Below are 13698 nucleotides of genomic sequence, written 5' to 3'. Positions count from 1 at the left end.
GCTAACTGAAGTGTTTTATGGTTAATCTACAATAATACAGAAAATATGGTTGCTATTTTTCAATTTTATATTGCTTATTTCAATGTAAATACAATGTGAATTTTTAACAGTCTATAATTCATCTTATGTCATGGTTATGTATCTTCTGAAGATTGTTTTTATGCTCCAAACTCAAAGGTTTAAAAGCTTTAACGTAGCTGGTAAGGAAATCAGATACTCGGCAATGAATTCTCTGAAAAAGCCCCAATTTTCCCTTGGTTTCTCTTGTTGCTGACACAGGTCACCTTAGTAACGCCTTGCTACAGAAGACTCATTTCTTTTTTCTGTTGAGACAGGGTCTTGCTCTGTCACTTAGGCTGGAGTGCACTGGCGTGATCACAGCACACTGCATCCTCCGCCGCCTGGGCTCAGGCAATCCTCTTACCTCAGCCTGCTGAGTAGCTGGGACCACAGGTGTGGCCCACCAGGCCTGGCTAAATTTTTTTAAAATTATTTGTAGAGACGAAGTTTTGTCTCTGGGCTGTTTGCCCAGATTGATCTCAAACTCCTGGGCTCAAGTGATCCTCCCACCCCGGCCTCCCAAAGTGCTGGGATTACAGGTGTGAGCCACCGCACCAGGTGTTTTTTTCTTTTTTCTTTTTGAGATAAGGTCTTGCTCTTTTGCCCAGGCTAGAGTGCAGTGGCAAAATCACCCCTTATTGCAGCCTTGACCTCCTGGGCTCAGGGATCCCACCTCAGCCTCCCAAGTGGCTGGGACCACAGTCATGTACCACCATGCCCAGCTAACAGGTTTTTTTTGGAGACAGGGTCTTGCTCTGTCGCCCAGGCTGGAGTGCAGTGGCGTGATCTCAACTCACTGTAACCTCCGTCTCCCAGGCTCATGCAACTCTCCTACCTCAGCCTCCTGAGTAGCTGGAATTGCTGCAGCATGCCAGCATGCCCAGCTAATTTTTATATTTTTTGTAGAGACAGGGTTTTGCAATGTTGCCCAGGCTAGTCTTGAACTCCTGAGATCAGAAGATCCACCCACCTTGGCATCTCAAAGTGCTGGGATTATAGGCGTGAGCCACCACACCCAGCCACTGCTAATAGTTTTTATTATTTCTGTAGCGATCTCTCTGTGCTGTCCAGGCTGGTCTCAAACTCCTTGGGCTCAAGTTACCCTTCTGCCTCAGCCTCCCAAAGTGCTGGGATTACAGGCATGAGCCACTGTACTCCTGGTCTCATTTCTTTTTCTTTTCTTTTTTTTCCTAATTAGGAATTGATGTGGAATAAAGACACATTTATAAGTGTGGAATACAATGAGCCCACCATGCTTCACTTTAAGTAGATGGGAAATGTAAATTAACCTTTACTTGAAAGGTTAATTTAATAACATTAAATTAATAAGAGAAAACTTACGCTGCCTGCTTTCAATTTTTGTCAGGAAAATTGTAGGCTGCTGAAATTTTTCAATCTAATTTTATGGACAGAGCAAACAGAAACAAAGATTATTACCTTTCGGGAAGAATGTAAATAAGAATTACTACCTAGATAAGAAATTAGAAGGCCGGGTGTGGTAGCTCACGCCTGTAATCCTAGCACTTTGGGAGGCCAAGGTGGGTGGCTCACTTGAGGTCAGGAGTTCGAGACCAGCCTGGCCAACATGGTGAAATCCCGTCTCTACTAAAAATAAAAAAATTCGCCGGGCATGGTGGCACGCGCCTGTAATCCTAGATACCCGGGAGGCTGAGGCAGGAGAATTGTTTGAACCCGGGAGGTGGAGGTTGCAGTGAGCTGAGATCGTAGCACTGCACTCCAGCCTGGGAGACAGAGCAAGACTCTGTCTCAAAATAAAATAAAATAAATTAGAAGCCAGGCACAGTGGCTCACACCTGTAATCCCAGCACTTTGGGAGGCTGAGGCAGGTGGATCACCTGAGGTCAGGAGTTCGAGACCAGCCTGGCTGAAATGGTGAAACCCCACCTCTACTAAAAATATATTAACTCTTAGATTACATCTTTTTGAGGATAAGATGCAAAATATAAAATGCCACTGAATCAATATTCTTATGAAATCATTTTTGTGCCATGCCAACTTTCTCTCTATATACATCTACAGTCAAATTTCACTACTCACAGTAGCTATGTTCTAATGAACACTGAATTAACACATATAAAACCACTACTCCTGGGGAAAAATACAGGGCTGGGTTCCTGCAAGTCTCTGGTCATAACATTCTGGTCAACGGATCAATATACAATCTTGTTTAATGTCAGCTTTTGTTGAAAGGCACCTTATTTAACATACCTTGTTAATTCATTAACACTGAACACTAGACAGCGCTTCAGTGCTATGCTTGGGGACCATTATAAACAGCAAAAACTGGCCAGGCTCAGTGGCTCATGTCTCCAATCCTATCACTTTGGGAGGCTGAAACAGGAGGATCACATGAGCCCAGGAGTTTGAGACCAGCCTGTACAACATAGTGGGACCCTGTTTCTACAAAAAAAATTAAAAATTAGCCGGGTGTGGTGGTGAATGTCTATAGTCCCAGCTGCTCAGGAGGCTGAGGTGGGAGGATTGCTTGAGCCTGGGAGGTTGAGGCTGAGACCCTGTCTCAAAAAAAAACAAAAAAGTCACCAATAAGAAGCACGACAATGTGAAAAACATAGCACCAAATGCACCTCAAAAAGGACCCTCTTTATAGTATGAGCTGAAACCGGAAAGCAGAGCATCGCCCTGCCCCGCCTCAGCTGTAACATTTGCCTCAGGAGACCCAAATTCTTCACTGCTCTGCTCATGTATGTGAATAATCATGAAAGCACTGAGCACTGACATTAGGGTTACAAATAAATTTTAGCCAGTGAGTGAATTCACAAATACAGAATCTACAAATAATGAGGATCAACCATATGTATAAATACAGGCCATTTGCTTTTTATCATTAACACTGTGACCAAGATTTGATGTGATCTTTACATAAAAATATTAAGCAAATTTCCAAACCTGGTGTAAGCCAGGATTTCTGATCCCCTTACTGCTAAATGAACAAACAAAAAAGAGACCACACAAAATGCCAAAACTAGAAACTATAAACATGCAGAAAACAGTGCTGCTGGACAAAGTCACGCCATTCCACAAGTGGTACCACTGGCCAAGGGTGGACATAGCATGCATTTACCTTCAGGAACATAAGGAAGAGCTGACCCGGTGTGAGGACTTCCTGGTTCACCAAACTATCAGGATTGTCCTCCATGCACTCTCCTTTGGCTAAAGCAAAGAGCTTTCGCGTCATGAGACAAAGCATATAAAACTTTTCAGTATTGGATTTCAAGTGGATACAGATGCACTGGCTGTGAAAACAGAAAAAAAAAAAAGCTTAAAACAATTCAGTTGGTAATACTACTTAATATTCTATTAACCAAGATCCCCAACTCATGCTTACTTAACTTTAATTAAATAAAATTAAGCATTCAGTTTTTGAGCTACACTGGCCACATTTGAAGTGCTTATCATGTGACTGGTGGCTATGCACTGGACAGCACCAGTATGGAGCTGGCTTCTTTAGTAATTATACAGTGGTTATATAAGACAAAGTCCTTGCTTTGGAGAAATAAAGTGATACAATCCCTGCAACTTTCAGGGATTGTACAGAAAGAAAAATGTACATCTGTGTACACAGAAAGTAAAAAAGTAAATGTAAATGAATGAAATGTTCACAATTAGAATCCAATGTACTATTTGGACATTATTCTGGAAGTCTGAAATTATTTCAAAATAAAAGTTAAAAAGTACTATAAAATAAAACACGACTACTAAAAAAATACAAGTGAGGAGGGCCGCAAAAACAAAGGTAGCCCCCGGCTAGCAAGGACCAGGATTCTACCCCAAGATTCATTCTCATTCCCAAATGACTCGCCCGCCCAAACTGCAACCAATACAAAGAACCACTGACAGCCCTCCGCCCCTCCAAAAACAGTTTAGACAAAGCACACATACTTAAACAGGAACTCCGCAGCTTGCTCATTTGGGTACCAGTCAGGAACATTGAGTTTTACTCTGAAGCATTCACCTAGGTAGTTAAGGACCTGTTTTTGTGTCGAACAACCCTCTTCCATTACAATCCTTAACATCTGAGAAACAGAGTTCCTAAGGAAAGAATCATCCTCTTTTCCTTTGATGAGCTCCTGAAAGATCTGATAATCAGAAAAGCTGACAAGTGCCTAGAATAGAAAATAAAAGGTTTAATTGCTCACTAATAACTAAAATACTTTATCTATTCACTAATAATTATCTTCTCTCATTTTTTTAATACCCAAGGAAAATTAGCACTCTGCTATTGCTGAATCAAAGTAAACTCTCTAAAATAAAGCATTCTTTGTATGATAGCCAGACAGCACAATTGCCTCCAGGGTCCTCATCTCCTGGTGTTCACAAACGTGTAGTTTCCTCCCATGCCGAATCAAGGCTGGCCTGCTTGACCAAGAGAATGTGGTGAAAAAGATAATGGGAGACTCCCAGGGCTAGATCACAAAGGGCACTGCAGCTTTTTCCTTCTGCATCTTCTGCTCTCTGTTCTCTCAGCTAACTATATGGAGGAAGACAGTTGCCTCAAGCAGCCTACAGAAAGGGCCATGTAGAGAGCAACCCCATGAGGAGACCTCCTGCCACCAACCAGCAGATTTGCCAGCCATGTGAGTGAGCCACCTTGGAAGTCCTGAAAATGACTGCAGTCCTGTCTGACATCTCCATGCAACCTCCTGAGACCCTGGGCCACAAGTGCCCAGCCAAAGCACTCCCAAACTCCCGACCCGCAGAAACTGTGAGACAGAAATGTTATTGAGTTTTAAGCTATTGAATTTTGACGTAATTTGTTTTGGAGCAGTAGACAACTAGTACAGTATTATTTTAACAAGGAGAATCCATCCAATGTGCACAGGATACTACCCCCAGTGAATTTCTTCATAACAAAAGAATGCATTCATTAAGTCATACCTTAAGTGCAAATCCCAAAGGAAGAAAGAACAGTTCTTTTCGGTAAATAAAGTTCAACATAACAGTGCCATTTTCCAAGTAGTGGAGGTTCATATTGACAGCGGAATGTTCTTCCCTCACACAGTGCATTGAAACTCCTATTGAACCAAACAACAAAAAAATCAGAAACTCATTGATATCTTAATTGCTTCAACCATTTTCTTTCTGAACAATCTTAACCTCTTAGACACAATTAAAGCCAAATCACTAAGTTTAGCCAAGACTGGCAATCAAAAATGTTTCTAAACCTCAGCAAATGTCCTCTTGCATGCAAAATCTACCCAGATTGAGAAACACTAATGTAAAATAACCGAAACTATGAATTTAAGCAAACTTCAAAGTTTCCCTCCAGGACAGAGTCCACATCTTTTAGCACTTTATATCTGCCTTAAACTGTGGAGTCTGGTCAAGACATGGTGCTTGATCTAATAGTTCCAATGGAGAAAAGTAGAATTTTAGATTTTATTTCAGTTTCAGGCAAAGACTGCTAAGACATACTACCATCAACTGATGCAAAAGAAAATCACTAGACATTCAGGCATGCTGTTTTTCTAGGTATAGTATGTATGGCTATAATTAAGGTCTGATTTTTAGCTCAACTATCAGGACAAATTGTTTAACTGTCAGGGTTGCTCAAGAATACAACATGCTGTCTTAGGCATTGTCAAAGAGAATGTTCCAACAGAGGCCAGGTGGCTGTCAGACAGAGACCCTGAGGGGTGTACCACAGTGGCCTGAACCAGAAGACATCCAAGGCCCACATTCACCTATGGCCAAGCCAGACTAGCTTCCATCTTCATAAGTAGTAACAAAAATACACATGCTCTTTCAGTTTGCAAAAGTGCAGCAGCCTGAACCAGAAGACAGCCAAGACCCACACCCACTTATGGCCAAGCCAGACTAGCTTTCATCTTCATAAGTAGTAACAAAAATACACATGCTCTTTCAGTTAGCAAAAGTGAATTTTAAAATGCTTATGATTGATAAAAATCATATATATTCAAGGTGTACAATACCTTGAATATACATATACATATATTATAATGATTTCCACAATCAAACTGATGAAAACATCAATCACCATAGTTATCATTTGTAGTACGTGTGCACGCGTGTGTGGTTGAGACACTTAAAATGTACTCATCAATTTTAAGCAGTACAGTATTACTATCATCACCAGGCTGTACATCAGATCCCCAGAACTTATTCATCTTGTAACTGCAAGTCTGTATCCTCTGACTAACATCTCTCCATTTCTTCTTCCATCCCAATTATGAAAACTTAACACAAGAATGCTCAATAGAAAAACAACAAAAAACAAAAGAAAGACCAGACACGGTGGCTCATGCATGTAATCTCAGCACTTTGGGAGGCTGAGGCAGAAGGACTGCTTGAGCCCAAGAGTTCGAGATCAGCCTGGGCAACGTGGTGAAACCCCATCCCTACCAAAAAAAAAAAAAAAAAGAAACAAAAATATCAAAGACCATTTGGATGCATCTACTTCAAAAAAAAAAAAAGTTTTAAATTTTCCTTAAAAAATATTCTAATAATCTCCAGAACTTACCATACTGAGTATAACCAGGCCCTCTGGTTTTCCATTTTGGTCTTATCATTGCAATGGGAAAATTTCTCCGAGGCATAATCAACATTCGGATGACTTTTTCAATGCCATTGATTATAAAATAGCCCCCCATTTCCTGCCAAAAAGATGAATTGCAACTTGTTAAACAAAGATACATGACTAACTGTAAACATGAACCTCACTCCTAGCCAAAGGTAGTACAACACACAGAATAGGAACACAGAGGTGAAATGTACTACTGATCCCTTGAAAACAGTACACAGACACTGTCTTTGTGTGAATTAACAGTTTTCTCAAGTATATTACAAAGGTCCTAGGGACATGGGAAAAAAGTATGGAAGAAAAACAGGGTACTTCTCTTTATCAGACAGGCTCAACCTATCTTGCCTTTCTGTCCCCTAAAATGACTTCAGTCTTCAAATAACACTAAAAAAAACTTACTCCAAAGAGGTGTTGAAAGATAAAAACTGGGCCGGGCGCGGTGGCTCACGCCTGTAATCACAGCACTTTGGGAGGCCGAGACAGGAGCATCACAAGGTCAGGAGATCAAGACCATCCTGGCTAACACGGTGAAACCCCGTCTCTACTAAAAATACAAAAAATTAGCCAGGCGTGGTAGTGGGCGCCTGTAGTCCCAGCTACTCGGGAGGCTGAGGCAGGAGAATGGCTTGAACCCAGGAGGCGGAGCTTGCAGTGAGCCAAGATTGCGCCACTGCGCTCCAACCTGGGTGAGAGAGGGAGACTCCGTCTCAAAAAAAAAAAAAAAGAAAGATAAAAACTGTAACCATTTTGCTTCCATACGAGTATGGTTTCCCAAATACGTTCAAAAACTTGATTGTATGAAAGCTCTGGAAACCAGAAATTTGGATTAGCTAAATAGAAAAATATTTTTAATAGCTCTGCTCAATATCACATTTCTGTAATAAACAGCTACTATTTACGAATTGCCTACTATGAAACAGGCATATTATAGTAGGTGCTCTATGTTATCATAACATTTAATTCTCATAACAATGAGTGGGGTAGCTATTATACCCACTTGCAGCAGAGGAAACTGAGGCTCAGGGAGATTAACTTCCCCAAACCACAAGACTGATAAGCGGAAGAGCTGTGTGTCAAACCCAGATCTGACACCAAAACCCTCTTCCCACCACATAACACCATCTACCTATTTAGTAGGCACTGTTTGTTCATCTTGATTACCTCAACTCAACTCTGCAAAGCCACCTAATATAGCTGAAAGAAATGATGAAGGGAATGCATATAAGTCATTTAATATGCGCACAGAATCTTACTGTTAGCAAAGCAGACATTTTTATTTCACTTTTTTAGTGACGGGGTCTCACTCTGTCTCCCGGGCTGGAGTGCAGTGGCACAATCATGGCTCACTGTAGTGAGGCCTCCTGGGCTCAACTGATGCTCCCGCCTCAGCCTCCCAGTTAGCTGGGACTACAGATCCATGCCACCACCATGCCCAGATAAATAGACATTTTTGACAATAGCTTTGTGGATTAAGACAGCTTGAAAAAAAAAACAAATTTTGTGGAAGTATGTCTCTATCATTCAGAAAATTAGGGAAAAACCTACCAGTTCTTCCCCCCGAACAATAATATTCTCTAATTTTACAGCCACTTTTTCATACTGTCTAATTTGATAGTTATTCAGAGCCATACACTGTATGCAGGCAAGATACTGATATCTCTTTCACCTATCCAGAAATTGGAGCACAGAAAGAAAACACTGACACACTTCTTGTCTTCTTACTCCCAACCCAGGCCTTCTCTACTGTCTCATGCCTGGACGCCCGTCATTACCTCTGCCTCCTCATGGTGCTCAATGAGGGCTTGTGGGGGAAGGTTACGTAAGTTGCAAAGCTTGGATTTCACCATGATGGGAACATAGCCAAGAAACTGCTTAATGATTCCTTTTGAGATTCCATTCACTGCCCAGTTGATATCAGCCTAAATGAAAACAAGAGAAAAAGTTACTTAACAGAAATATCTGCATTTACGAGAACAAATGAGTATTTTCAAAGACTGAGGAAGAAGATCAATTAAATTATTTTATGCCTTAGATTTAGAAGGTGGGATCTCTTAGACAATAGCACCAAGAAAGCAATTTCTGGCATAAACTTTATTAGGCACCCGCCCTACTCCCAAATATGTGCAGTGTTGAGAGTCACACAGTATCACTAGTACTCACTGTCAACTTCCCACGGTAGGTACTCCTTCGGCCCCGGCATTCTGCTGGATAAACATTGGCCTCTTTGCAGATGGTCCCTTTTGGAACTGTAGGTGGACTGATAACAGCATCCAGAATAGTAAAAGAGATACGCTCATCTTTGAAAGCAAATTCAAAGGGAGGTATAGCCTGAAATGCAATTCACACTATTAAATTGCTTGCATTTCCAAGGCATTTTTTCTCTAAGACTCTTCCAAATCTTATGTGTTCTACAAACATTGATGCCTGTGATGCCACCATGACACACCTAAAAAGGACAGTTAAGGCTACCTCCAGTTGGCCGGGCGCAGTGGTTCACGCCTGTAATCTCAGCACTTTGGGAGGCCGAGGTGGGAGGATCACAAGGTCAGGAGATCGAGACCATCCTGGCTAACACGGTGAAACCCCATCTCTACTAAAAATACAAAAAAAATTAGCCAGGCGTGGTGGTGGGCGCCTGTAGTCCCAGCTACTCGGGAGGCTGAGGCAGGAGAATGGCGTGAACCCGGGAGGCAGAGCCTGCAGTGAGCAGAGATCACGCCACTGCACTCCAGCCTGGGCGACAGAGCGAGACTCCGTCTCAAAAAAAAAAAAAAAAAAAAAAAAAAAAAAAAAAAGCTACCTCCAGTCTACTCATAACTTCACTAAATACTTAAAACCACAAAGCATTATTAGTACAAGATTGTTTTGAGTGACCACATGTGTCAGAGACTGTAGTAGGCTCTAGGGATACAGCTGTGAACAGAACAAAATTCCTGTTCTCTGAACCAAGAGCCTTGTGTATTCTTAACTTGTCTATGTGCATAGCAAGACAAATGGGACTACTGCTAATAGAGCAAGGATACGGAAACATCCTTTAGGATTTAAGACTAGATGCTTAATGTACAATGGCAACGTCAAACTGAAGCCAGAGCCATGCAAAGGAAAAGATGGTGGCCAGGCTGGGTTTCCCCTTCCACAGAAGTTACTTCTTTGTACCATTCTGTAGGGGAAGCTTTGCTGTTCTGAGGAAGGGGCATCACCAAGCTCTCCTATATATTAATTACAAGCAACCTCCTAGACTTAGTCTTAGAATAATGAAAATGAAAAAATGGAACCAAGAAAGAATACCAAGGAGGTTCTCCACCTTCACGTGAGTTAACTTACCTTTTCTAAATTTTAAAATGTTATCTAAAGCTGGTATTATTTTAGAAATTCATATTTTATTTAAAAATAAAAGCCAGATGCAGTGGCTTATACCTGTAATCCCAATATTTGGGAGACCGAGAGAGGAGGACTACTTGAGCTCAGGAGTTTGAGACCAGGCTGGGCCACATAGGGAGACCCCGTCTCTACAAAAAATAAAAATAAAAAAATTAGCCGGGCATAGTGGTGCACGCCTGTGGTCCCAGCTACTCAAGAGGTTGACGTGGGAGGATCACTTGATCCTGGAAGGTCGAGGCTGCAGTGAGCTATAACCATGCCACTGCATTCCAGCCTAGGTGACAAAGTGAGATCCTGTCTCAAAAAAAAAAACAGAATGAAGTTAAAAAAAGAGAGATTAGACAATTTGCTTTCTCAAGACGCAGCTGCACTATTTAGAAGGAAATACAGTGAACTGTCATTATTCATAATAGTTATGTTCTATACAGTTGCCATAAACACTGAATTAGCCAATACTGAACCACTGCTCCTAGGGTAAATACATGGTTAGCTTCCTGCGAGCCTCTGGTCACATTTCATCAACTGATCAACACACAATCTTGTATTATGTGTGTTTCTGTTTAAGGACAGCTTATTTAATACATATTATTGAGTCCGTAACTCATGCCTGAACAAAGCCTATGATTTCATCCACTGATCAATACACAACCTTGCATTATGTGGGTTTCTGTTTAAGGACAGCTTATCTAATATATATTATTGAGTCCCTAACGCATGCCTGAACAAAGCCTATGTTAAATGCATGTATTAATATTTTCCCCTAAAGGCACAGCACAGCCTTCTTGTGCTTAGGAACTTTATACAGAACTTTAATACTTTAATACTTTGCTTGGGGGACATTTTAAACAGCAAAATCACCAACAAAAAGCACAAAACACGGCACTAAATAGATAGTGAAGACAACCTCTGTTTATAGTTTAAGAACTTAAAACAAGAAGGCCGAGCATCACCTTGTTAGATCTCAGCTGGGAAAATGGACACTGAGCAACTCAACTTTTTTGCTGCTTCTGGGCATGGTGCTTTTGGAGTAGAAGTAAATTTTAGTGAGTAGGTGAATTTGCAAATATGGAATCCCCAAGTAATAAAAATCAATTGTATTTTGAAAAGACAGACACATAAATTCTGACTCACAGAAAGGAGGAATTCACTCCAAAGAAACTTGGCAAAATTATGTTTTGTAAGTAAAAAATATGATAACTATTTTTTCCCTTGGCTTTATAAGTATTAGTTATTTATGTTACTGTGTTTTACAGAACTTTTTCAAATACTATATTATTATAGTCCTAGCTAAGTTGTGGCATCATTTTCTATGCAGGGCCAAATTTTCTTCATCTACTTCAACCAAAACAATTATCACAAGGGACTGAATGCACAAGCAGACATGAGAATCCAGCTGTCTTTTCATTAAGCCAGACATTAAAAAGATTTTTAATAATGCAATTCATCTAACTTCTTTTTTGCTTTGGAAAATATTTTTCTTAAAAATGTTAACATATAATTGGTTTATTTATTTATGTATTTATTTTTTTGGGAGAGTCTCACTCTGTCACCCAGGCTGGAATGCAGTGGTGCAATCTTGGCTCACTGCAACCTCCGCCTCCCAGGTTCAAGCGATTCTCGTGCCTCAGCCTCCTGAGTAGCTGGGATTACAGACATGTGCCACCATGCCCGGCTAATTTTTGTATTTTTTAGTAGAGATGGGGTTTCACCAGGTTGGCCAGGCTGGTCTGGAACTCCTGACCTCAAGTGATCCACCCGCCTTGACCTCCCAAAGTGCAGGGATTACAGTCAAGAGCCACCACACCCAGCCGACTGGCTTATTTTTAAATTAGTGCTTTTCTAAAATTTCTCAATTGGATTTTTTTTTTTTAAAGACAGGTCTCACTCTGTTACCGAGGATGGAGTGCAGCGGCACAATCATAGCTCATTGCAGCCTCAAATTCCTGGGTTCAACTTATCCTCCCACCTCAGCCTCCCGAGTAGCTGGGACCAGCTACTTGGGTGCGCACCACCATGCCCCACTAATTTTTAAATTTTTGTGGAGATGGGGTTTCACTATGTTATCCAAGCTGGTCTTGAAATCCTGGGCTCAAGTCATCCTTCTGCCTTGGCCTCCCAAAGTCCTGGATTACAGGTGTGAGCCACTGCACCCAGCCCGATTAACTTTTAATTAGGAATTTTTTCTCACAGACATGATACTGTAACAATCCAGGCACAATACAAATAACCCCCACCCCTCTAGTCTTTCTAAACAATAAATCTTAATGGCTCCCATATTATTTGCCGAATAGAGTTCAAGAATCAGACTGGCAATCAAAGCTCTCCACATTATCTGTATCCCTATCTCCCACAACACAAATCTTACCCAACAAAACCACAGGTAGGGTCCCCGAAGCATGTGACTCTGCTCTACTCTTCCCCTGGACGAAATGCACGTTTCTCACTTCTTGAACTCATCTAATCCTGCCCTTTCTCAAACTCCTGGATTAGTTGCGCCGCCCATAGGCTCCCGCAGTAGCCCACACAATCCCTTGGCAGAGCAGTTCTCAAGAACATTGGCATGCACTGCTTTCATTATCTTCACCCCTTCAACCCCCAAACACGACAGGGAGCACTTAAATGCATGAACTGTCTCGTACACGGGACTGCCTCCTCCACATCCTCTGAGCCTAGTGCCTGGAGACACTGGGGATGCTTACTAAACGAAGCTTTCCCCCACCATACTCACTTGAATTCTGCTACCATTACTCTACGCTAATAATGCAATTACACTTTTCGATTCAATCTTGCTTTCATGACTCATTTATACCTTCCTCGGCACCTGCTTAATTCATAACAAATGACGAGTAGTTTCTCTCTTTAAAGCTCTAAGAGAAGGAAACTGAAGGATAACCTTGAACATTACACTGTACCTACAAATACGTTCGGGATCTTTCGAGGTACGTTTTGGAGAGGTAAGTCTTCAAGTGATATAAAGCCGTGTGCATTGTGAAGCACATCCCCAGATAAGCCACTTCCTCACTCTCACAGCACCCCGAAACTGTCCAAACTACGGTTCACAATCACTTTTCACTCCAGAATCACGAATACATCTCTTAAGACGCCTCGACTCCAAGTCTCACGAAGGCCAGTACCGCGTCCTGTTTAACATGTTGTGCTCTCCCGCTTACCCACCAAGCCTGTCAGGATCAAGGAGCACATGCATCTGGGGTCATACTGTGACCTCCCAGCCACCTCCCTGGGATTGGCCTCGCCGCGGCAAGGGCGCCGGCGGACGCCGCGCTCACCTGCACCGCGAGGCCGAGACCCTCGTGCACAGCGTAGTTGAAGGACTCCACGTGCGCCCGCGTCAGCTCCTGCAACGCTGCCTTTTGCTGTTCCCGCGGGATTCCATAAGAGGGGTCAGTCAAGTGCTTTAGGCTAGGCCCGCTGGGCAGGTTCCGCCACCGGCTGCCAGGATCCATGTGGCCACCTGCACACCGGACGCCAGTCTCTCGGTACACGCCGGACGCCAGTCTCTCGGTACACGCCGGAAGTAGTGGCCGCAGTCCCGTTTCCGCAGCCTGCTGGGAAATGTAGTTCCCTCTCGTTCCACCCGCCCTAGGCCCTGCGGTTTCGGTTTCTCGGGGTCAACGTAGAACCAAAAACGTCGAGTGAACGGGCCGATTAAGGCCGTG

The 13698-nt window shown here is 42.3% G+C and overlaps 1 protein-coding gene and 1 long non-coding RNA gene across 11 annotated transcripts in view, besides 1 other annotated feature; both read right to left on the bottom strand.

Moving 5' to 3' along the window:
* POLR1B (RNA polymerase I subunit B) overlaps positions 1 to 13698 on the bottom strand; it is a 37783-nt gene that overhangs the window by 23839 nt on the left and 246 nt on the right. For 3 of the 10 annotated variants that reach the window (NM_001371969.1, NM_019014.6, NM_001282774.2), the window contains exons 1-7: positions 13309 to 13515; positions 8801 to 8968; positions 8413 to 8559; positions 6581 to 6713; positions 4978 to 5114; positions 3982 to 4205; positions 3164 to 3335 (exon numbers count right to left, since the gene is read on the bottom strand). In NM_001371969.1, coding sequence (NP_001358898.1) covers positions 3164 to 3335; positions 3982 to 4205; positions 4978 to 5114; positions 6581 to 6713; positions 8413 to 8559; positions 8801 to 8968; positions 13309 to 13485 — 1158 coding nt within the window. In that variant the 5' untranslated portion in view covers positions 13486 to 13515. Of the gene's footprint in view, positions 1 to 3163; positions 3336 to 3981; positions 4206 to 4977; positions 5115 to 6580; positions 6714 to 8412; positions 8560 to 8800; positions 8969 to 10057; positions 10316 to 13308; positions 13585 to 13698 lie in introns of those variants that run through there. The other 7 variants (NM_001371970.1, NM_001282777.2, NM_001282772.2 and 4 more) reach the window with 7 other exon arrangements.
* On the bottom strand, positions 1401 to 2441 carry LOC124907870 (uncharacterized). The gene is made up of 2 exons (XR_007087194.1): positions 2290 to 2441; positions 1401 to 1456 (listed from the first exon to the last, which is right to left on the bottom strand). It is a non-coding gene; the product is annotated as an uncharacterized LOC124907870 (long non-coding RNA).
* Positions 13483 to 13632: an enhancer, noted in NCBI's record as "active region_16393". NCBI's record gives its function as "activates an Ori minimal core promoter by ATAC-STARR-seq in GM12878 lymphoblastoid cells {active_cell/tissue: GM12878}" and the evidence as "EXISTENCE:reporter gene assay evidence [ECO:0000049][PMID:35858748]".

This window comes from Homo sapiens, chromosome 2 (assembly GCF_000001405.40).
Source record: "Homo sapiens chromosome 2, GRCh38.p14 Primary Assembly".
NCBI lineage: Eukaryota > Metazoa > Chordata > Mammalia > Primates > Hominidae > Homo > Homo sapiens.
The sequence above is the reverse complement of the archived record's forward strand: the minus strand, read 5'-3'. Positions and strand labels throughout refer to the sequence as shown.